The sequence below is a fragment of the Homo sapiens genome, chromosome 2, assembly GCF_000001405.40.
Source record: "Homo sapiens chromosome 2, GRCh38.p14 Primary Assembly".
NCBI classification, from domain to species: domain Eukaryota; kingdom Metazoa; phylum Chordata; class Mammalia; order Primates; family Hominidae; genus Homo; species Homo sapiens.
This window is the reverse complement of record NC_000002.12, coordinates 86,601,875-86,624,836: the sequence shown is the minus strand read 5'-3', so window position 1 is coordinate 86,624,836 and position 22,962 is coordinate 86,601,875. Positions and strand designations below refer to the sequence as shown.

Sequence of the window (22,962 nt, the reverse complement as noted above, 5' to 3'; positions counted from 1 at the left end):
TCTTTCTTTTTTTTTTTTTTTTTTTTTTTTTTTTTTTGAGACGGAGTCTTGCTATGTCACCCAGGCTGGATGGAGTGCAGTGGCGCGATCTCAGCTCCCTACAAGCTCCGCCTCCCGGGTTCACGCCATTCTCCTGCCTTAGCCTCCCGAGTAGCTGGGACTACAGGGGCCCACCACCACGCCGGCCTAATTTTTTGTATTTTTAATAGAGGCAGGGTTTCACCGTGTTAACCAGGATGGTCTCGAACTCCTGACCTCGTGATCTGCCCGCCTCGGCCTCCCAAAGTGCTGGGATTACAGGCGTGAGCCACTGTGCCAGGCCCATGTACAAAATAAAGCACCCGGAACTTTGCACCTGGACTTATCTACACTCGACAATCTTTGTCCTAGGAACTCAGGGAGTCCACACCAGGCTTTTAACACCCTTGAGACTGAAGGAGGGAAAAGGCTGTAACTGGCAGCGACAACTGGGCCTAGTATAACGCGAACTCCAGTTTTGGCCAAACCTCCTCCAACACACATGTGCAAAGCCACATTCTCATGAAGAGGGGGCAAAACATTTGCTTTCTGGGTTTAACCTTCTACCATCTCAAACCAACTGTGCCAAAAATTTCCCTGTTCACCAGGATTCATCAAAAAACGTACATTTCTATTTTCACCGATTTTAAGAGAATAATTAACTGCTCTATTTTTACAAAAAATACACAAAGTGATACAATCTAAAGACTAATCCTCAGACAAAATCAATTGCTAAACATTGGAGGGGCAAAAGGGGAGACCACGCCGCAAAAGCACGGAGAGGCAACTTTCGGCACCGCGGGAAGGCCCCGACCACGCTGCGGCTCCGCCTCTCCTCCCGCCCCTCGTTCGGTAGTCCGGTAGCCCCGCGGCTCCCCGAATTCCCCGCCCTCGGCCCCTGCGGGCGCACCCTGCAGGCCCCGCCCCGGCCCCGCCTCATCGCGACGTCAGTTGTTATGTCTCGGCTCCGGCCGCGGCCGCCGCTGATACACGGTTGTGGAGGGTACGGCCGCGGTCTCCGGAGGTGGCGGGGGTGTTGGGGACGGGTGCTGCGACCGGCACTGCCCATCCGAGCGGGACGGGCGCTGAGTGGCCGGGAGGCAGCCGGGTAGCCGCCTGGAGGAGCAGTCTCGGGGCCTATTATTGGTTTTTTCCCTCCGAGACCGATTCCATCTGCAGAGACCGCGACGCCCCATCCTGGGCCGGGCCGCAGTGCCCGCCCGCCTGAGAGGCGCCGCCCGCCAGCCGGCCCGAGCGAACCTGGAGCCGCCGCCGTGCCCGCCGCTCTTCTCGCGGAGCCTGGGCGGTCGGCGGGGCCTGGGGCCTGGGCTTCGGGCGCGGCGTTGCGGCGGCCGCTCCTCCCCGCGCAGAACACGCTGGGCCCCGGGCCTGGCCCGGCCGAGCGCCGCGCCCTCCTGACCCGCGGCCGCGGGAGTCCGGCCCCCACGGCCCCTCGGGCCCCGGCCTGCCGCCCGGATCCCCGCCTCCTGGGCGGATCTGAGTTATTTTTTGGTCTCCCCCTCCCCCTTGAGATCGCGGCACCGGAGGGCCGACCCCGCCACCTGGGTCAGTGCCCGCCCCGGGGGAAGCGTCCCTCGTTTTGTTCTTCCCCGCGAGCTCTCCCCGCGCCCCTCTCCTTTCTGTGCTTAATGGATGGGGGTTTTGAGTTTTTCCCCTTTATTTTTGTCGGCTCTTGACTGGGAGGCCCGGCGCGAGGCTCTGCGTCTCTGCGTCCCTCGTCGCCGCCTCGCGCCCGCGCGGATCCCGTCACCTGCTTCCCCGCCGGGGATGGCCGGCCAGTGACGGCGCCGGGTGGCCCGCGCGTGGACACGGGGCCCTCGCCCAAGCTGCCACCGAGCCGCGGCCCCCGCCCTCGACCCTTCTCTCTCCCGTATTCCGAGCTCTCTGGAAAGAGAGGAAACTCCAGGGAAGATGTGGCTGAAGCTTTTTTTCTTGCTCCTCTATTTCCTGGTCCTGTTCGTCCTGGCCAGGTTTTTTGAGGCCATTGTGTGGTATGAAACTGGCATCTTTGCCACCCAGCTGGTGGATCCGGTGGCGCTGAGCTTCAAGAAGCTGAAGACCATTTTGGAGTGCCGGGGGTTGGGCTACTCAGGGTTGCCCGAGAAGAAGGATGTCCGGGAGCTGGTGGAAAAGTCAGGCGAGTATCGGGCTTCCCCTAGGGTCCCCTCCACCTGGGAGAGGGGACGACCTGTACCTCCTGGTACCTGGCTGTTCCCCCAGAGTGAGGCCTTTCCTGGAAGCGTTAAAGCTGCCCAGGTTTCTTCGTCCAAGCTTCCTACAATCAAGTATGCGGATCCCAGCTTTGAGGAGGAGTCTGAAATTATTTGGAGGAGTGTTGGTGTATCCTTTTAAGGTTATCGTAAAATGACAGTTTAAAGTGTGGCTTCTTAGCGTTGTTTACTAAGTTGAGTGATTTTCTCAAAATTCTGGAATATCAACTAGTTACAAACTGGAAAGCATTATTTGTCAGTTGAAGTTCATAAAAACGTAAGAAAAACTCCAAAACGTTGTCTGTCAATAGCAATATTTGTCACGATAGTAATAATAAGATACCCAGAGTGGGGACACATCTTTGGAATACTTACTATCAGAGGCACTTGGGCCTAGGATTTAAATGTTAAATCATGAGTTTGAATATAGACAGTATACACCGTACAGTATTAGCTTTTCAGACTTTAAGTTTGGTGAAAATAAGGCGAGCATTTTGTATAAATGCCTGCCATGTTCGAGTTTATATTATATTTCTGTTAGGATTTTTAAAAATTTGCATCTTGGATGTGTAAAAGAAAAATTTTTTTTGTCTTCTGTGTCACAGGTACCCTTGCATTGTTTAATGGGTTGAGAAATATACGTGAAATAGTGCTGAGAGAATATTCAATGTCTTAAAGAATGTGTTTTTAGTAATTGTTGGTTTTGGTAGGATTGGGTGAGAAATATGGTTAATTTTTTTCACTGCTGCACAAAGTATATCTTTGGATATACTTCCTGAAAGTGGAATGTAATTTGAGAAAGGCTTTCTGCGTTGCTGTGGGAAGCAGCTGAAACTGATGGTTATCTTTTTTGTTGTTTCAAGTATTTTTGTCAGCTGTATCTTTTACAAGACAAATCTTTTCCTTCTTTAGTACCTTATAGACATGTAGCGTGATAGACAAGAGTATGAGCTCGCTAGCAGTTTAACACTTGGATATTTGTAGGTTGCGGGTTATAAAACTCATATCTCACTATTAGGGTAGAGGAGAGGAACACACTCTGCAGAAGTGATAAATGTTTCTTTAGAGAAAATATAAAATCGTATATTATTCTTGCCCCTTGTTTGCTGACTGGTTTATGGCGATTCTTATTTCTACCATAGGGGGAAGAAGTGGAGTAACTAGGGTAAAAGATCTCTAATAAATAAACTCTCTTGGTTTAGAGATGAGAAGTGTCTCAACTGCCAAAGCCATCATTTTTTTATGGAAAATAATTTGGTCACACATTTTTTTTTCTTTTGACTGTTATTTATTATTGCCTTCTTTTGGGCCTAAAAATACTTGGCACATTGAATGTACTAGAAGTCCACATTTAACTTTAAGACGCACAGCCCAGTATGACTCAAATCACACGTTTTATGGCAGAAAAGTCATGGTATAGCAGTTTAAAATTTAAGTGTTTATTGTGAATGGTTTTGCTGCTATCATGGTGCAGTACTTGGTTTCTCACTGTTTAATATTTAAGGCGAAAGTTAAAATAATTTGATTTTAGTGTTTTCCTTTCCTTTTTGTTTAATGATACAAGCTCTAAATTTATAATATAAATTTGTATATGAATATGGAGTTTGTTCTGTCTAACAGGTAAAGTTCTAACCTCCAAGTCATACAAACCCTGTTGCTCTTTTAAGCAGGGCTGATGGCAAATTCTGTGAACCCAATTCTACATCTTTTAAGTAAGAAGCATATAAGCCATACTGTTTAAAAATGTATATGAAGCCTGTATGTGTCATTCATAAAACTAAATAATTAAGAAAGTTGTGCCTTTTTGGAGTGGTACAAATTTGGTAAGTTCCTAATAATTATGTGATAACCCCACTAAAATATAAGCCCTGTTCTATAAGAGATGGATTTTTGTCTATTTTGTTCACTTTTCCCTGATGCATAGGAAGTTCTTACTACATATTTATTGAATGTATGACTCCTAAGTGGGTATATCCAGGTTCTTCTAGTAGTTCTTGTCTATAAAATACAATGAAAGTACAATATCATGATTCTTAACAGTGTAAAAAATAGAATTACTGAAATTGGGAATCTAGGATTCTTGCAACCTTATTAGTGTTATTCTTTTCCTTTCTTCAGGTGACTTGATGGAGGGTGAGCTCTATTCTGCTCTCAAGGAAGAAGAAGCATCCGAATCGGTTTCTAGTACCAATTTCAGTGGTGAAATGCACTTCTATGAGCTTGTGGAAGACACAAAAGATGGCATCTGGCTGGTTCAGGTATGAAAAGCAGTAATAATTTGATAATTCGAGAGCCCTAAAAAAATTATTTTTACCAAAATAGTATGTACCAGCCAGTGACACTTCCGTGTCCTTGTGTCTTGTTTCTCACACATAACTCAGTTCTCTTAGGGAGGCTCCAGTATCTTCTTAAAAAGGTTTTGGAGACTGAGGAAGATGAAAATTGAGTAGTGGGAAAGAGAAAGATGGGGGATGGGGGTCAACTTTTTGTTTAGAATCCCCAGAAGCAAATCTATTTTAGTTATTGGACCTTTGTTGAATTGAGAAATACACATATATATCCCTTTTATTTAGTGATTTGCACTGTTTCTCTTAGTTTTTATTATCTCCAGTTTTTAATTCAGTGGCCTGAGTAATTTTTATATATAAGTAAGAACCCTAAAGTAAAAGTAAAGGAATCATTGTATTAGGGAAATAGCCAACTTTGTGACTATAGAGGAGCTGTTGTGGAAAATGGTGGGGGTGCTCATTACGTAACTCAGGATGATGAGATTATAATTTTTAACCCTTGTTTTTATGATAGCAAAACTGTGAGACTTAATTAGCATATTAGAATTTTAGAGCTATGATGGACCTTAAAAATATTTTATGCTTTCCAAGATGTAATTTATGGTGAGTGGGCATGCATTATCATTTACATATTTTAATGTAAATTAGAAAAATTATATTAACATAAATTTCATAAATTTTGCTTAGGACAGGACTAAAGTTATTTACATTTTAAAACTGTACATTCAAAGTGACATATCAAGTAAATTAACAGCGTGAATGTGGCTAAAATTATTAATGTAGTCTGTGAATGGCTGAAGCTTGGAAATTATATCAGACTAACCCTTTCTGAGACTCTGAGAGGTGAAGTAGCTTGCCCAAGGTCATGGAACTAGTTGGTAGTATTGAACCAGGATGAAACCCAGGTCTTCTGATTTCTTGACTGGTACTCTTATCATTTCACACTGGAGTGGGCAAAGTTTGATTCAGGGCATGAAAATTAAAACAGTTTCTTCATATTTCTTTCTGAGAGTAAAGACTGCAAAATATGGTAGGAAAAGCTATGAGTTCAGAGACATTAGTTGCAGGTCTGGTACTGTCGCTGTTACAGGTCTGGTACTGTCACTGACTAGCAGTATGATTGTAAATAGGTATATTTTTCTGTTGCACGTGGCCTCAAATAAATACATATACATCTAAAAAGGATAAAATGGTACTGTAGTCCACTGTGCTAAAGGGTTGAGGTTTGGGAATTCTTCCAGAGATTTACATTGTTCATCCATGGCCTTTCTTTATTGTATCCTTCCTATTGCATTTGTCCTTTTACCTTCCGGATAATCTAATTCAGTAATTTTTAAGTTCAGCAATGGGAGAGAATGTGAGAGTATGAGTGTAGTCTATACATTATCTATTTAAATTTTAGTTTATTTCTGTGTCAGTTGGAGTTGAAAAATAAGGTGGAGCTTTTTTAAAGCTTTAATGTATAAGTATATTGTTATTCTGTTTCTTTTCTCTGGTACTTATTTCTAATAGTCTGATTGAGAAAGACACTGGTTTTGATAATTTTAGATTTTATTACTGAGGATGAATTGAATAGCCAGTCCCACTGCCCTGCTTTCAGTGTCTAAATGTCACCCACATTGAATGATCCCATGGAAATAAATGGTGAAGATGTTGCACACCTTTGAAACTTGGAAGGGCTATGTCAAAAGTCTTGAGTTCTTTTGCTATATAGGCTGCTGCCTATAGACAACAAATACATTCTGGTTCAATAGTTAGCAGTATGTTCTTGGCTTGTAAATGATCTACTGTTTTTGATGTCCTGTTAAAGATATCCATGAATTAAGCTCCTGTAATAAATATGTGACAGAATTCATCAAAAGTTTATTCAGTTGTGGGTGTGCCAGGCCCTGTTCTGGGCCCTGAAGATATACCAGAAACACACACCAAGCTAAGGCCTTGCTCTGTCAGGCAGCTCACATTCTAGTTGGGAGAGGCAGACACCAAATAAATAAATATTTAATATAACATCAGTTAGTGGAAAGTAGTAAGAAGAAAAATAAGCAGATTAAGGAGATGAGAGTGGCAAGGAATTCTCTGGTAAGGTGACAAATGAAGTGAAGGACAAATAATGATAGTAAATGGTAGCATTATAAATTCTAGTTGCTAAATTTTTTTTCTCTGAAAATATTTTTAAACCTTATAGGTATTAATAGTTGAAAAACAACTCTTTAAAAATAGAATGTATTTCTGTGGTTTTTCTATGTATGGAAATAATGCAGTAGGACACCTGCTTAATTTTTCCAGTGATGCTCAAGGTTTGCATTGACCACCACTGTCTGGCTTGTGTTCCTTGAGGCCAGTGGCTTACATCTGTCAAATGGCTGGCCTGGTCTGAAAGAACAATCTCTGGCAGGACAACTGAGAAGAATGAGATTGAAACCCTGTCCTTGGCACTGTGAACTAGCCAGCTAAGCCAATCAGCACAGCCACCTTGGTTTAAGCCCTTAAAAGAGGGTTGTACTTTTTAAAACTATGCTTAAAATTGAAAATATCTACTAGAAACAGAAGAGAAATATTGTCTCCATTGCTTGCCATTCTTTCAGCTCAGATCATATATATTAATCTATTGTAAAGGATAACTTTCAAGAATTGTTTTTAACAATTTGAATTGTTGTTATTTTCTGTTTACAGTAGTCCCCCCTTATCTGAGGGGGATGCGTTCCAAGACCCCCAGTGGATGCCTGAAACCGTGGATAGTACCAAATCCTATATAGTCTATGTTTTTTCCTATACATACATACCTGTGATAAAGTTTAATGTGTAAGTTAGGCACAGTAACAACAACAACTAATAAAAATAGAACAATTATAACAGTATACTGAAATAACATTTATGTAAATGTGGTGTCTCTCTCTCCGAATATCTAATTGTATGTAGTATTTTCGGACTGCAGTTGACTGCAGAAAGTGAAACTGAGGGTAAGGGGAGACCACTGTATTTTAGAAGAAGCTGACTAATTTGTTCTCTGTCATTTGTTTTAAGTCTATGAGGAGTGTTTTCATAAATGAAGATGCACAGATGGCAGCCAGTTCAATCCTCTTCATATTTTTAAGCTTTTCCAGGTCCATGTTACGTATAGTCTCTGTAATGTGAACAGAATTTATTTTAGTTTTCAAGGTAGCAACATACATATGACATCTTTACCAATGACACACTATGAAATACATGTAGAACCAAGTGCTCTTTTTTCTAAGTTATTCCTAACATTGTTTTTCTCCTTTGTCCCTAACCCAAGCTCATATCTTTCATTAGCTATTCATTTAACAGTTTTGTGGATTCTTTGGCCCCAGTCTTCATAGCATTACAAATAGAAGATGGTTACTTTTCTTTCAAAAGACCCTTGGTCAGAGAGGCAGATGGCACAGTGGATAGGCTTCTGAAGTGGAGAAGTTAGCATAATTTATGGGTTTTATGGATTTATCCTCCTCCTAACATTTCTGTTTCTCCGTTTTGACTTTTGTCATAGTTCAAAGAAGGACATATTTGTTCCCTACTGGCTGTGTTACATCATATGGAATTTAAAGTCACTGGAATTGAGGTAGCAGTGAGAAGCATCATATGATTTAAAATAAAGCTTTGGGTCAATATTTACTGAAGTATTACATCAATATATTTCCTGTTTGGCTGACAAGAGTTAATAGCTGATTTTAAACTTGTTTATCTTTGCTCCTAGACAAAAGTTTTGTTCGAGGAGATTCTAAATTACGTATTTCTTTCTTGATACTGCTATGGAGGTGAAGCACATAGCAAGCCACTTTATCTTATATTTTGTATTGGTAAAAAATTTTATAAATTCTATGTAAGAATACAAAAAAATTAAAAGACCACTGTTTTTTGTCAATCACTTGTCCTTACTCTTAATGGTTTTATATAGTTTGCATGTATATACTAGGTTGGCTTATGATTTTGAAAGTAGAGACTCCCTATTATAATGAAATACTGAGAATGCAGAAAATATCATAGCACAATACTCTCATTGTTCCAGGGAGTTATGTTACTTAACTAAACCTGGATGTCGTTGTATGGAGATTAACAGTATTAAAAGGGGTATGCCACATGGTTTGATCAGTAATAAACCTCACCTCTAAATAATGGGCATTTTAAAATGCACTGAATTAAACATCTTTATGTCTGACTGAGGTCAAGAACATTAATATGCAGTTGCTTAGCAGGGTACCATTTATGCCACTGTTTGTCCAGAAAACATCTTGGTACAGGTTGCTGGGGAAGGGACTTTGATTATAACAGAAATCAAAAGCTTAAGAGTTTCCTTTAGAGACTCTGTGTAATCAGAACTAGAAGAATGAGTTATTAAACTGTAAGAAGCTGAAATTGTTTGGTTTGACATAAATACTTATTGAGCACCCATATGAGTTGGGCACTGTATTAGCTGCAGGGACTACAGTGGTGAGCAAGTGTGGGGATGCCAGAGGCAGATACCCTGGGAAAGGGAATGGAAAGATTGCTTCACTTCTAGCCTGTATTGCCAGGTCTGTTCCACACCTGGAACTCAAGCTGTACTTTGTCCAGTTTTTTTGTAGTCTTTAAAAATGTTCCCCACATACAGTGTTCCTTCCTGAGCTGCTGAGGAAAATGTCTCCCCTTTTAATGAGACCAGCCATATGAATGCCACTCAGAATCATCATGCATCCTTCTAGGATATGAGCTATAAATTGGGGACTCTTACTGGTATGACATAGTGTGTGTGTGTATATATATTATATATATATATATATAAGGCATATGTATATATATATATTAGGCTGAGAATATTTTGTTGTGCTGTGTGACTCAACCAGATGAGTTATTTTGTGAAAATATTAGCATTTTTATAGTGGTTGGTTAATTTAAACTCCACCAAATTTAATTTATGCTAAACCTTCAGTTGAATTATATAACTATGTAGGACATTGGACACATTTTTAATTGCATAAATATAACTATAAAGTAATATAAAATGCTTTCATGCAATGCCTACAAGATTTTTCATTTTTGTGTAGCTCTGTCAGTCAGGGATCCTTAAACTCTTCAAAACCAAATGCTAGAACACGTTGCTGAATAAATAAGGCCCTGGCATTGAACATTGTCTTGTACCTGCCCCAGGTATGTTCCCAACTCTTTTCACTCACTTCTACTATCTCTGCTATAACCAAGAGGTACCTGGGAAGAACCCCTCTCATTCCTCCTTCTTTTCCTAACATTGGAGCTCTTATCACATGTCTCAAAGATACCTGTGCAGTGAACAAGATCTTCACTGAAAGATGCCTCCAGACTTAGGAACTAAATATTTACACTGGCGAGGCAACCTCTAAACTCCTTGGAGCAGTGTCATTCTGCACACAGACCTGAAATGTTTGGGTTATTTGCAACCTTGATCAAGAAATGGGATAATGCCTGAAAAGTGAGTTATTTTTAAAAGAGGGCAAAGAGTAGAGAGTATGGTAGTATGATTGCACAGATACTTCTTAATCTTCCTAAGGAATCTGAAAAATAAGTTAAACTTGTCTTTGATTATTTGACCAAAAGAACTACCAGATTGACTCTTGAGTGGTAGCAATAAAAATAAAATAAAATAAAGAACAAGAGGCAATAGGCGCCTGCTTTGCTTGATCTTCCTAATTTTCTAGGTACAACTTTTTTTTCTCTCTTTTTTTTGAGATGGAGTCTTGCTCTGTTACCCAGGCTGGAGTGCAGTGGCATAATCTCGGCTCACTGCAACCTCTGCTTCCCAGGTTCAAGCGATTCTGCTGCCTCAGCCTCCCAAGTAGCTAGGATTACAGGTGTGCACCACCACGCCCGGCAAATTTTTGTTTTTTTTAATAGAGGCGGGGTTTCGCCATGTTGGCCAGGCTGGTCTTGAACTCCTGACCTCAAATGATCCACCAGCCTCAGCCTCCAAAAGTGCTGGGATTAAAGGCATGAGCCACTGTACCTGGCCTTCTAGGTAAAACTTATAAAGTACTTTTGGACCAGAGAAAAATGTAAAGCTAGGGACTTACTGGGTAGGGAAACGTGTGAGCATCCTTCAAAAGAGCTTTCACCTATTAAGTGCATGTCCCCAGATTGCCTTCTTCCTGGTTACTTCAGCTGTCTGAGTATTTGAATAAATTGTATCTGCCTCAATAAGACCACTTATTTTCATTAAAAAGTACTATCAAAACCATGGTTGGGTGCAGTGGTTCATGCCTGTAATTCCAACACTTGGGAGGCCGAGGCAGAAGGAACCCTGAGGCCAGGTATTTGAGGCTGCAGTGAGCCATGATTGAGCCATTGCACTTCAGCCTGGGGAACAGAGTGAGACCCTGTCCCTTAAAAAAAAATGTAATATCAAAACCATTTGCTTAATGCCCTAAATTGTGTATATGTATTCATTAAGCTTCAAACTTATGTGATAAGATGTTATGTATGCACGTGTGTCTCGGTAAGTATGAGGATGGTAGTGGAGTGTCACAGAGGTTATTTGGCACATAAAGTGAACTTCAAGTCACTTGTCATCACAATGTGCTGTTTCTTCTGCTGCCCTCTGACATTTGTTAGACGTTCTAGCACAGAGGCCACAGATGAGGTGGCTGCACCACCTCTTGCGTCTCCCAAGGAGTTGACTGTCAGCACTCATTTTACACACCCACCTGCAACTTCACTTCCTGGAGGCTTTGTGAGTGTGAAAATGGTCCTTCCTCCCAGAAAGAGTAGAGGCCCCCAGAGTATTATGTTGTAATTTTGAATTGTATAGTATCAGAAATATAACATTTATGAAAATAAACTTGGCCTATATACCCTGGACTTAAACAGATGGTTTCATGATGACTTTAGACATTTTTGGCTTTCCTTTAACTTCCCATTTAGTTATTTTTATGGTCTTGTTTTTAATGTTTTTTGGTTTTTACTGGTATCTGCATTGAAATTCTGCCTTCATTAAAGGCAGGAAGATTAGGAGATAAAGGGAAAAGGTGGTAATGATTAGAAAGGCTGACACTTATAAGAGAAGTCTTGACATATTTTGAAGGTCTTGCTCTGTCACCCAGGCTGGATTGCAGTGGTGCAACCTCTACTCACTGCAACCTCCACCTCACAGGTTCAAGTGATTCTCATGCTTCAGCCTTCTGAGCAGCTGGGACTATAGGTGCCTGCCACCATGCCTGGCTAATTTTTGTATTTCTAGTAGAGACGGGGTTTTGCCATGTTGGCCAGGCTGGTCTTGAACTCTTCGACTCAAGTGATGCATCTGCCTCGGCCTCCCAACATGTTGGGATTACAGGCGTGAGCCACCACACCTGGCCTCTTTTTCTTTTCTTAAGAATCTTTTGCTTTTCCTAATCCTAATTGTGTTTGAAAGCTCTTGCAAATTTGAAGTACAAGTTCAATAATGTAAAATTCATTACATTAAAGAATGAATAAGAAGAATGGTAATTCTTATTGTATGTTAGAGCCGTTCATGATTAAGCAAAAAGCCATAGAACTAGTAGTATTTATTGATTTAGTCAAAGCACCCTTTAATAGAAAACATGTGTTTGACTCTTGGCTCCATAATTATACTTTTTAAAAAGTGAAATTTGAACTTGTTGAACCTACATGTGATAATTTTTAGTAAGCTCTATTTGGATTATTGTTTAAAATTTTCTTTTCAGAGCAAAGAGAAATTATTCCAAGGGCCATTTTCTTCCTGTGTAACTTAATTAGAGAGAAGAGGCCACATGGTGGAGAATGTGGCTAGCCTTTTAATACAGTTTTGACTCCCTCCCTCTCTTTGTAACTGCCACAGAGTGTGGGAGAGTTTAATTTACGTTTCAGTGTTTCAAGTCTTTTTCCTATTGGATAGTTGCTCCTTCTATAAGAATTGTAATGATAATGTGATGATACAGTAAACAAGAACTGGGAACAGAATATCTTTTTTTTTAAGTGAAATTATATTGTTGATGTAAACGGTTGGCTTGACTCCATTTTAGGTAATTCAAGTTTCTTTTTCTCTATTTTTGGGAATAGGTCATAGCAAATGACAGAAGTCCCTTGGTGGGCAAAATTCACTGGGAGAAAATGGTTAAAAAGGTGTCAAGATTTGGAATACGTACAGGCACATTTAACTGTTCCAGTGATCCCAGGTAAGTTGATTAGGCAATTCTTAGAATTTGAGTCCTGACCAGGATCTTTCTTATTTAAAAAGGGCAATGATACTAGAAGCCTGCTTGAACTGAAAGCTTATTATAATGTGTAGCACACTCTTAGTTACATAGGTGCTTGATTAATGGTTTTTGATAAACTGGCAGCTAATGACTTTCACTCTAAGATCTCTCTCTGTCTCCTCTATCTCCCTCTCTCTCCCCGTCCCTTTCTCTGGCTCTTCTGTGTTTTTTCTATTGAAGATATCTCTTAAGATTGTGTCTTTAGTCCTTTTCATTTCACCTTTCTTTTCCAAAGAGATCTCAGCACATTCATGGCTTTAGGTGACACCTCTGTGCTGATATAAATCTTCTATCATTCTGACCTCTAGTTTGCATTTCTTTGCTTATTTCCATTTGCTCTGCAACTATCCCTAGATATATTCTTTTCCCTGAAACCTAGTATCTGAAATCAGATTCATCCTCTTTTTCTTTAATCATCCATGTATCCTTCTACCTTTCTTTTTTCTGTCCTTCGCCGGTTTTCCCCCCCATTTTCTCAAATAAGAATCCTCAGAGGTGTTTTTGTTTATGTTTTGTTTTTTTGTCATCATTTCCAGTATTCAGTCTGTCACATTATTTCTTGTTTTATTATTCCATTATTTCTTCTTTGAAATGCCTTTTTTTCCATTTCTCTTGCTACCAAGTTATAACTTAGTCTCATTCATTGATTGTAGAAAACTCTCCTAAACCATTACTATACCTCCTTTCCTTAGCCTTACATTTACTTCTCTTCTGCTTAGAACCCTTGTTTTGCCCACTAGTAATATAGGGTGAGATGGATGGTAGAGTTCCTCTAAGAGTTGGGAATAGGAGGGAAGTTCCTGTATCTCTTAACTCACATTTAGTCTCCTTATCTACCTGCAAAGCTGTCATGCTCATCTTCACCACAAAGTCTTTTTTTCTGATTTTTTTTTTTTTTGAGACAGGATTTGGCTCTGTGACTCAGGCTGTAGTGCAGTGGTGTGATCATAGCTCACTGCAACCTCCAGCTGATGGATGGGCTCAAGTGATCTTCCCACCTCAGCATTCCAAGTAGCTGGGACTACATGCATGCATCACCACACCTGGCTAATTTTTTTTTTTTTTTTGTAGAGATGGAGTCTTGCTATGTTGCCCAGGCTGGTAACCACAGAATCTTAGTCACATCCCAATGTCTTTTGTTGAAATGTCTGAGATAGCTTAAGTCTTAATGTTCTTTTGAAAAGGAAATCATTCTGATCTCCATTCGTCATTTACCAAAGACTTAGGATTTGATCTGATTCCATCATTTCCAAATAGAGTCAAAGTGAAAGGTCTTTTTCTTCCTCACTGATTTTTACAATACTAGAACAAATGATAATGCTGATATTTTGATTTTTTTAGTTATGCCAAAAGTCAGTATTCATATCACTATTTTCTTTTAAAATACCCAATGTATTTTTTAAAAATCAGTGGAACTAAATAATACATTTCAAACATTATAGTTTATAAATATATTAGAAAACATCAAATAAAAACACATTTTAAAAATATATAAAGTTGAATGCATTAATTAAAGTCTAATGTTATTAGATAATAAAGAATTCAAAAACAAAATAAAAATAATCTGTTAAACGTGAAAAACTGAAAGAATGATTTGGTGGGGGCAGACAAACCATAATCTTATAATCTTATAAATCAGAGTGCATCAGAAGTATCATAATTCAGTCCAGTGGATTTTAGTGCAAATTTATTTAGCTCTTCTTTTGAAAAGCTCTGATTCTGTATTAGCTGAGAAATGGTGAAGAGATACATACAAGCTAGCTCCAGATGTTTTCCTCTAAATCCTTCATCTTCAAATAATCCTACCTCTTATTTACAATTGAAGCAATGTTTTTTTGGATAACTTTTTGCTTTTTTGTTGATTGTAGCTATAGTTTTTGTTATTTAAAAAAGTACTTCTACTCAGCTTCATCAGAAAATGATTTTGTTGCACAGTGACTTGTACCAGTTCCAATAATGTGCCCATGACTCCTCATTTGGAAAGTCCTCCAACTGGAATAAGAATTGTTCTTGCCATAGAAGCTATGCTTAGTCAGGGTCATTTTTCTTTTCTTTTGATGACTATGGAGATATAGAAGAACAAAATTTAGAGATATAGAGAAGAGTGTTCAGAATTTCAATGCAGGGTGTAAGTGGGCAGAGAATAGTGTTATTCAGGAAGTGTTTTAATCACATATTTTGAATAATTGAGTCATCATCTTGATTTTGGAGTTTTAAAAATACCAAAACTCTGTGCCCCACTGTCTATGCTGCATTCTTTGACTGTAGTCCCTTCTCTGGGGTGGCCTCTGGGCAGCTGACTTCAGTGTGCTGGTCCCACTGTACAGCTGTACTTTCCTGACCTGTTTAGCTCCTGCCTTAGTCTGTTTTGTGTTGCTGTATAAGAATACCTGAGGCTGAGTGGTGGCTCACGCCTGTAATCCCAGCACTTTGGGAGGCTGAGGCAGGTAGATCACCGGAGGTAAGGAGTTGGAGACCAGCCTGGCCAACATGGTGAAACCTGTCTCTACTAAAAATACAAAAATTAGCCAGGCGTGGTGGCGGGTGCCTGTAATCCCAGCTACTCGGGAGACTGAGGCAAGAGAATCACCTGAACCCAGGAGGTGGAGGTTGCAGTGAGCCGAGATTGCACCACTGCACTCCAAGCCTGGGTGACAAGAGCGAGACTCTGTCTCAAAAAAAAAAAAAAAAAATACCTGAGGCTGAGTAATTTATGAAGAAAATAGATTTATTTAGCTCACTGTTCTGCAGGCTGTATAAGAACCATGGTGCCAGCATCTGCTCAGCTTCTGGTGAGGCTTCTGTGCTGCCAGAACATGGTAGAGAAGGTCAAAGGGGAAGTGGACACATGTGAAGGGCATGTGGCTTTATGTCAGCCCACTCTCGAGGAAACTACTCCATTTCCACAAGAACTAATTCAGTCTTGCCAAAGCTAGAACTCACTAACTTGAGAGCAGCACTAAGTGTTCATGAGGGATCCACCTCCATGACCCAGACACCTCCCACTAGGCCTCACCTCTCAACACTGCCACACTGGGAAGAAAATGTCAACATGAGGTTTGGTGGGGACAGACAAACCATAACCAAACCAGAGTAGCTCCCTTAAGAACATTTAGGACTACCACTTCTGAGCAACTTCTGACTGTCTAGTTGTAGCAGCTTTAATTTCTTTCCCTATGTACCCAGAAGGAGTGGCCTTGCCTGGCTCTACCTCTTCTCATTCCCTAACCAGCAGATCGATTTCAGAGGGCTTTTCCTGTGAGGTTCATACTCTGTACTTTTTTTGACAAAGTAGGAGATGAGGTGGTAATGATGTGTAGAGAGGGTTGGGGAGATGGGGATTAGTAAAGAGAAGATAGAGGACATGGAAATTGCAGGAGCTGAGTGGTAAACAGGAAGCCTTATGGCAAGAGTGTCAGGGATGGTGGCCTGTGGAAAAAACGGGGAAGGAGAAGAGAAGGGGGGATTGCAGAGAGAGCGAGGAAAACCAAGGAGGCCAATGACCTTGTCTGAAAAAACAGCATATATAAACAGAAATGTTAAGGTTTCTCTCTCTTCCTTTCTTCCTTTTTTTTTTTTTTTTTTTTTTTTGAGATGGAGTCTCACTCTATTGCCCAGGCTGGAGTACAGTGGCACGATCTCAACTCACTGCAACCTCAGCCTACTGGGTTCAGGCGATTCTTGTGTCTCAGCCCCCCAAGTAGCTGGGATTACAGGTGCGTGCCACCATGCCCAGCTAATTTTTGTATTTTCAGTAGAGACAGCGTTTCACCATGTTGGCCAGACTGTTCTCAAACTCCTGGCCTCAAGTGATCCACCCACCTTGGCCTCCCAAAGTGCTGGGATTACAGGTGTGAGCCACTGAGCCCTGCTTCTTCTTAAATATAGCATGCCACATCAGCAACTGGAAGACCAAAACTCACAAGGCATATTTCCTATCGTTTTTAGTCTTAAAATTCTCTAAGAGAACTCAAAAGGTTTAGTTTAAAAACTAGAGGATATTTTCATGGTATTGTCATTGAATTTGTTCAGATCATAAAAAAATTTTTTTTGAATTGGCAATAAAAGTTTTTATATTGATGTAAGGTAATACAACCTTATTCTATCTGGAATGATAAAATTATTACTTAGCTCTGAGCTGAAAAGAAAGCACATAATATGTTTGTTTTCTTATGTGAAGAAATGTCTGCACTTAGAACTTGTTCATTTTACAAAGTAAGTTTTCTGTCAGAAAGGCTGTCATTTAATTTATGACACAAATCAGAGGCCATAGTAGGAAGATAAAATAGATGGCCAAGAGTTGAAATGTGTCATCACAAATATCAAGTGCAATGAAAACATTAAAGATACTTGAAGATATTTAAGATATAAATAAGACAGTTGTCCATATGCATTTGACTTGTTACTTTTTTGGGATACGGTAAAAATAGAATTCATGTCAATCAATGAATTATTATTTTGCATTGAGTAGAAGATATTTATTTTGTAGGAATATATACTTTTCAGACCATTTCAGTTAAAACAGTAATGATATTAATGGAATCTGTCTTATTAAGGTAGTGAATCAACTCAACAAGAAGCTAAGAGTCACAGTCTGTGATTTTGAGTCACCTAGACAGTTTTCCAGAGTCATCACTAACCTTGTCTTAAGACATAGCGTGTTGTCTTCATTTATCTTAAACTATATCACAGAATCCCTGAGATAAAATTAGTCATATTATCATTATACAGCCATATGCTACCTACGTCAAGACTCTTCTCTTCATCTGATCATATGATGTGTAATATGTTTATTTAATAAAATATAATCCATGCTAAGTAAAGCATAACATCTATGACTTTTACATCAATATTCTGAGTAGCAAAATGCGAAGTCAGATATTTATTACTATGCATATACAAATCTGTAACAAATAAAACGTTTCCATGTGGTAGATTGTCTTTTTTACAACTTTATTGAGGTAAATTTTACTTAAAAATTTCACATGGTAGGTTTTGGAAAAAAAAATACTTTTTAAAAACAAAAGATTAACTCTTCTGTGTGGTACATGAAAAACTAACTAAAACCAAAAACAAAAGGCAGCCTGGGCGACATGGTGAGACCCCAACTCTACAAAAAATTCTTTTAAAACTTAGCCTAGCATGGTGGCGTGCATATGTGGTCCTAGCTACTCAAGGAGGCTGAGGCAGGAGAATCGCTTGAGCCCAGGAGTTCAAGACTGCAATGAACTGTGATTGCATCAGTGCACTCCAGCCTAGGTGACAGGGAAAGACCCTATCTCTTATTATAAAAATAAAATAACTAAAAATTAAAAAATAAAAACAAAAGGAAAATATTTTCACTTACAGTCTCTTTACTGGGATACAACAGCTGTTTTCATTGTTCTTTCTTTTTTTTTTTTTTTTTTTTTTTTTGAGACGAAGTTTTGCTCTGTCGCCCAGGCTGGAGTGCAGTGGCGTGATCTCGGCTCACTGCACCCTCTGCCTCCCGGGTTCAAGCGGTTCTCCTGCCTCAGCCTCCCAAGTAGCTGGGATTACAGGCACGCGTTGCCATGCCCAGCTAATTTTTATATTTTTGGTAGAGATGGGGTTTCACCATGTTGGCCAGGATGGTCTCAATCTCCTGACTTTGTGATCTGCCCACCTTGGCCTCCCAAAGTGCTGGGATTACAGGTGTGAGCCACTGCACCCAGCCTGTTTTCAGTTTTTAATATTTCTTTTCTCTCATTACCTACTTTTTTAAGGGAAGATGGATATCACAAATATCCTAGCAAGAACCTGTCAATAGACAGGTTTCCAAAAGGAAGAGTCATGATCCTACTGCATAAATCTAAATGAATGATTTAATTTTAGTTAAATTCTTCTGAATATAATCTGCTGTAAAATGGGGATCATTCTTGAAGTGAACCTCTTAATCTAAATACTTCCTGTTTTTGTTTCCTCTTGTTAAATACTCCCCTTCATGATCTTCACTGAAGAAATAAGAGAATACAAAAATATATGGGGCTTGCTGTTGCTCTTTTCTTGGTTGGCTTTTGTGCAGATTACTTTGTAGCAGTCAGGCATTGTGGTAGTTGTTAATTAAATGGGTAAGCATGACTCCTACCCTCAAGGAGCTTGCACCAAACCAGTGACTCAGCCTTAGGATAATCTGTTTTCTTCTCTTTTCTCCACCCATCTGGATTCTAACCATCCTTCAAGACCTAGTTCAATTCCTAAACCATTCATGAAATCTGCACCAGCCCAAACTTTGAACTTCTTTTGCATTATTTAGCAACAGAATATATACAGTTTTATCTCTATTTTGTCTCATTAATAGGATTTTAAATTCCTTCTGAACATGAATTATTTTCTTGTCTTCTGGATCTTAGCACATAACGCAGTTGTAGGTACATGAGAGATGCTGAAGTATTTGCTGATTCCTTTGACTCAGAGGCTTTTCAAGATACACTTTATTTAATAAAAAAAAAAGAAACACAGAAATACAAAACAAACTAGAAAAACAGAGCTTGTTTTTCACAGCTGCCAAGTAGTGGTACCACTTTTTGATTATTTGGAAATTATTTGGCTTTGGGGTGAGGTGCTAAAGAAATTTGTCAGGGAAGATAAATTGTTTGCATTACAGCCTAGCTGTTTATTTACAGTTTCCTCTCTTGTAGATATTGCAGGAGAAGAGGCTGGGTCCGATCCACACTCATTATGTCTGTTCCACAAACAAGTACTTCAAAAGGGAAAGTCATGCTTAAAGAATACAGTGGACGCAAGATTGAAGTAGAGCACATTTTTAAATGGATAACTGCTCATGCAGCTTCTCGGATCAAAACCATTTATAATGCTGAACACTTGAAAGAAGAATGGAATAAAAGTGATCAGTATTGGTTAAAAATATACCTATTTGCAAACCTTGACCAGCCCCCAGCTTTCTTCTCTGCACTAAGTATAAAGTTTACTGGAAGAGTTGAGTTTATTTTTGTTAATGTAGAAAATTGGGACAACAAGAGTTATATGACAGATATTGGCATATATAATATGCCATCATACATACTTAGAACTCCTGAAGGAATTTACAGGTATGGAAACCACACAGGCGAATTTATATCCCTTCAGGCCATGGATTCATTTTTGCGCTCATTACAACCCGAGGTAAATGATCTGTTTGTTTTGAGCTTGGTTCTAGTTAATCTTATGGCTTGGATGGACTTATTTATTACACAAGGAGCTACCATAAAGCGATTTGTGGTTCTCATAAGCACTTTAGGGACATATAATTCTCTATTAATTATTTCCTGGCTACCTGTGTTGGGCTTTTTACAGCTACCTTACTTAGATAGCTTTTATGAATATAGCTTAAAATTGTTGAGATATTCCAATACAACCACACTGGCTTCATGGGTAAGGGCAGACTGGATGTTTTACTCTTCACACCCAGCCCTGTTTCTCAGTACATACCTTGGTCATGGTTTACTAATTGATTACTTTGAGAAGAAGAGAAGGCGCAACAACAACAATGATGAAGTCAATGCCAATAACTTAGAATGGTTATCAAGTCTGTGGGACTGGTACACCAGCTACCTCTTCCACCCGATTGCTTCTTTTCAGAACTTTCCTGTAGAATCTGATTGGGACGAAGACCCTGACTTATTCTTGGAGCGCTTAGCTTTCCCTGACCTTTGGCTTCACCCTCTGATACCAACTGATTATATTAAAAACTTACCAATGTGGCGATTTAAATGTCTTGGAGTCCAGTCTGAAGAGGAAATGTCGGAGGGGTCTCAAGATACTGAAAATGACTCGGAAAGTGAGAACACAGACACTTTGAGTAGTGAGAAGGAAGTATTTGAAGATAAGCAAAGCGTACTTCACAATTCTCCAGGAACAGCAAGTCACTGTGATGCTGAGGCTTGTTCATGTGCCAATAAATATTGTCAGACCAGCCCATGTGAAAGGAAGGGGAGGTCATATGGATCATATAACACTAATGAAGATATGGAACCTGATTGGTTAACTTGGCCTGCTGATATGCTGCACTGTACTGAATGTGTTGTTTGCCTAGAGAATTTTGAAAATGGATGTTTGCTAATGGGGTTGCCTTGTGGTCATGTGTTTCATCAGAATTGCATTGTGATGTGGTTGGCTGGGGGCCGACATTGTTGCCCTGTTTGCCGGTGGCCTTCTTATAAAAAAAAGCAGCCATATGCACAACACCAGCCCTTGTCAAATGATGTCCCATCTTAACCATGTGCAATTTGTCCTTTATAAGCTTTGAGTATCTTACAGCTTGCCTTTTTAATGTTAGTCACAATGTTTTTGTGGTTTGAAGTTTAGTTTAATGTTAGTGCAGTGACGGGAAATACACATTATGCTAATGTTGATGACAGAATTTATTTGGTTGCCTTGTGTGTTAATTGAATGCATACCTAATTGTAAAATTTTTTTATTTACAACATTGGAAATTCAGAAGTTAATGTTTTTTTGTAAGCACAAAAGAAGTATTATAGAAATTTATCCTAGCAAGACTTTACAAGATAGGATCAAATTCTAATGGAATTGAGCCGGTTTCTTATCCTAAATGTTTCCTCCCTTTTTACAATCTCTGTCCAGCACCTCTTGGTTAAATAATGTATGCTGTGAGACATGAAATTAAAACAGACCTATGAAATAAATTATTTTAAAACCAGAAGATTACAGATTTTCCAATGTTAAATTTTTTTGATAAGGTGGCTGAATGATATAGGTGTTTTGCTGGTTTGTTAATTTCACAGATAGATCAAACATGATTCTTGACTCACGTTGGGGAGGAAGACAAAATGTTGCTGGCACTTGCTAGATGTGACAGTTCACCTTTTAGCTTGGTTAGCTGTGATGGGAAAGAGTTTCATGGTGGGCTTTTGAAAAAGTACTAAATAATTTATCAGTACTTAGCACATTCATCTAAATAAAATCAACTATAGCATATTAGCCACACATAAATTATGTTTTTTCTGACTTTTGAAATTTTTTAAAGCTACAGAAAGCTGTAAACATAGTACAGTGAACATCCATTTCTTTTTATCTAATTCACCAAGTGTTCACATTTTGTTATATGTTTTATCTCCTATCTCTTATGTGTATATTTCTTTTTTTTTTTTTTTTTTTTTGAGATGGAGTCTCACTGGGTCGCCCAGGCTGTAGTGCAGTGGTGCAATCTCGGCTCACTGCAAGCTCCGCCTCCTGGGTTCACAGGAGTAGCAGGGTCTACAGGTGCCCACCACCACGCCCGGCTAATTTTTTGTATTTTCAGTAGAGACGGGGTTTCACCGTGTTAGCCAGGACGGTCCCGATCTCCCGACCTCGTGATCCGCCCGCCTCGGCCTCCTAAAGTGCTGGGATTACAAGCATGAGCCACCGCACCCGGCCGCTGATCCTTTTGAAAATAAATTTCAGTCATCATGATGACTGACTGCTAAATATATCACCACATATCTAAGAACAAGGACATTCTTTTATGTAACCACTATACCATTATGACACCCAAGAAATTTAACATTGACTCAATAATAGCTAATGTATATAAAATCGATACTCCCCAATTGCTCCTGAAATATCCTTTATATCTAAATGTTTTTGTTTTATTTTTATTGTGAACTCAGACATAGTCGATACATTAAGTTTAGTCTCCTCCTTTTCATCCTTTCCTCTAGAGTAATTCCCCCTGCCGCCACCCCTTTTTTTTCTTTTTCTTTTCTTTTCTTTTTTTTTAAAGACAGTTTCCCTCTTGTTGCCCCGGCTGGAGTGCAATGGCGCGATCTCAGCTCACCGCAGCCTCCACCTCCCGGGTCCAAGCGATTCTCCTGCCTCAGCTTCCCGAGTAGCTGGGATAACAGGCACCCGCCACCACGCCCAGCTAATGTTTGTACTTTTAGTAGAGACGGGGTTTCTCCATGTTGGCCAGGCTGGTCTCAAACTCCCGACCTCAGGTAATCTGCCCGCCCCGGCTCCCAAAGTGCTGGGATTACAGGCGTGAGCCACGGCGCTAGGCCCCTGCCCCCTTTTTAAAAAAGTAGACTCTTCTTTGATTTCTCTCTGGTGTTCTGTTTTATTTTTCTTTTATCATTTTTTTCTTTTTTTGAGATGGAGCCTCTCTCTGTCGCCCAGGCTGGAGTGCAGTGGCATGGTCTCAGCTCACTGCAACCTCCGCCTCCCTGGTTCAGGCGATTCCCCTGC

At 39.9% G+C, this 22,962-nt stretch overlaps 2 protein-coding genes and 1 long non-coding RNA gene across 6 annotated transcripts in view, besides 6 other annotated features; 2 read left to right on the top strand and 1 right to left on the bottom strand.

The window, feature by feature from the left end:
* The window catches only part of RNF103-CHMP3 (RNF103-CHMP3 readthrough), a 217,693-nt gene that overhangs the window by 96,286 nt on the left and 98,445 nt on the right, over nt 1–22,962 (top strand). The window contains exon 3 of the mRNA NM_001198954.1: nt 4,368–4,507. Coding sequence (NP_001185883.1) covers nt 4,376–4,507 — 132 coding nt within the window. The 5' untranslated portion in view covers nt 4,368–4,375. The remainder of the gene's footprint in view (nt 1–4,367; nt 4,508–22,962) is intronic.
* Nucleotides 777–1,071: an enhancer, noted in NCBI's record as "tiled region #3990; K562 Activating DNase matched - State 1:Tss". NCBI's record gives its function as "activates a minimal TATA promoter and a strong SV40 promoter by Sharpr-MPRA in K562 cells {active_cell/tissue: K562}" and the evidence as "EXISTENCE:reporter gene assay evidence [ECO:0000049][PMID:27701403]".
* Nucleotides 782–951: a silencer, noted in NCBI's record as "silent region_11718". NCBI's record gives its function as "represses an Ori minimal core promoter by ATAC-STARR-seq in GM12878 lymphoblastoid cells {active_cell/tissue: GM12878}" and the evidence as "EXISTENCE:reporter gene assay evidence [ECO:0000049][PMID:35858748]".
* On the top strand, nt 960–21,444 carry RNF103 (ring finger protein 103). Of its 3 annotated transcripts, NM_001198951.1 has the most exons (5): nt 960–1,021; nt 2,010–2,176; nt 4,368–4,507; nt 12,563–12,678; nt 19,419–21,444. In NM_001198951.1, the coding sequence occupies exons 1-5, from the start codon at nt 975–977 to the stop codon at nt 20,992–20,994; spliced, it is 2,046 nt and encodes a 681-aa protein (NP_001185880.1). In that variant the 5' UTR covers nt 960–974; the 3' UTR covers nt 20,995–21,444. The 3 variants fall into 3 exon arrangements, with proteins under 3 accessions (NP_001185880.1, NP_005658.1, NP_001185881.1); NM_005667.4 differs by having other exon boundaries at nt 972–2,176; nt 19,419–21,439; NM_001198952.2 differs by lacking the exons at nt 12,563–12,678; nt 19,419–21,444 and adding an exon at nt 6,824–8,420 and having other exon boundaries at nt 972–2,176.
* Nucleotides 1,032–1,571: a silencer, noted in NCBI's record as "silent region_11717". NCBI's record gives its function as "represses an Ori minimal core promoter by ATAC-STARR-seq in GM12878 lymphoblastoid cells {active_cell/tissue: GM12878}" and the evidence as "EXISTENCE:reporter gene assay evidence [ECO:0000049][PMID:35858748]".
* Nucleotides 1,842–1,921: a silencer, noted in NCBI's record as "silent region_11716". NCBI's record gives its function as "represses an Ori minimal core promoter by ATAC-STARR-seq in GM12878 lymphoblastoid cells {active_cell/tissue: GM12878}" and the evidence as "EXISTENCE:reporter gene assay evidence [ECO:0000049][PMID:35858748]".
* Nucleotides 2,102–2,151: a silencer, noted in NCBI's record as "silent region_11715". NCBI's record gives its function as "represses an Ori minimal core promoter by ATAC-STARR-seq in GM12878 lymphoblastoid cells {active_cell/tissue: GM12878}" and the evidence as "EXISTENCE:reporter gene assay evidence [ECO:0000049][PMID:35858748]".
* CHMP3-AS1 (CHMP3 and RNF103 antisense RNA 1) overlaps nt 7,388–22,962 on the bottom strand; it is a 55,380-nt gene continuing 39,805 nt past the window's right edge. For both annotated transcript variants that reach the window (NR_183900.1, NR_183901.1), the window contains one exon: nt 7,388–7,661. This is a non-coding gene — a long non-coding RNA (CHMP3 and RNF103 antisense RNA 1). The remainder of the gene's footprint in view (nt 7,662–22,962) is intronic.
* Nucleotides 7,496–7,545: a silencer, noted in NCBI's record as "silent region_11714". NCBI's record gives its function as "represses an Ori minimal core promoter by ATAC-STARR-seq in GM12878 lymphoblastoid cells {active_cell/tissue: GM12878}" and the evidence as "EXISTENCE:reporter gene assay evidence [ECO:0000049][PMID:35858748]".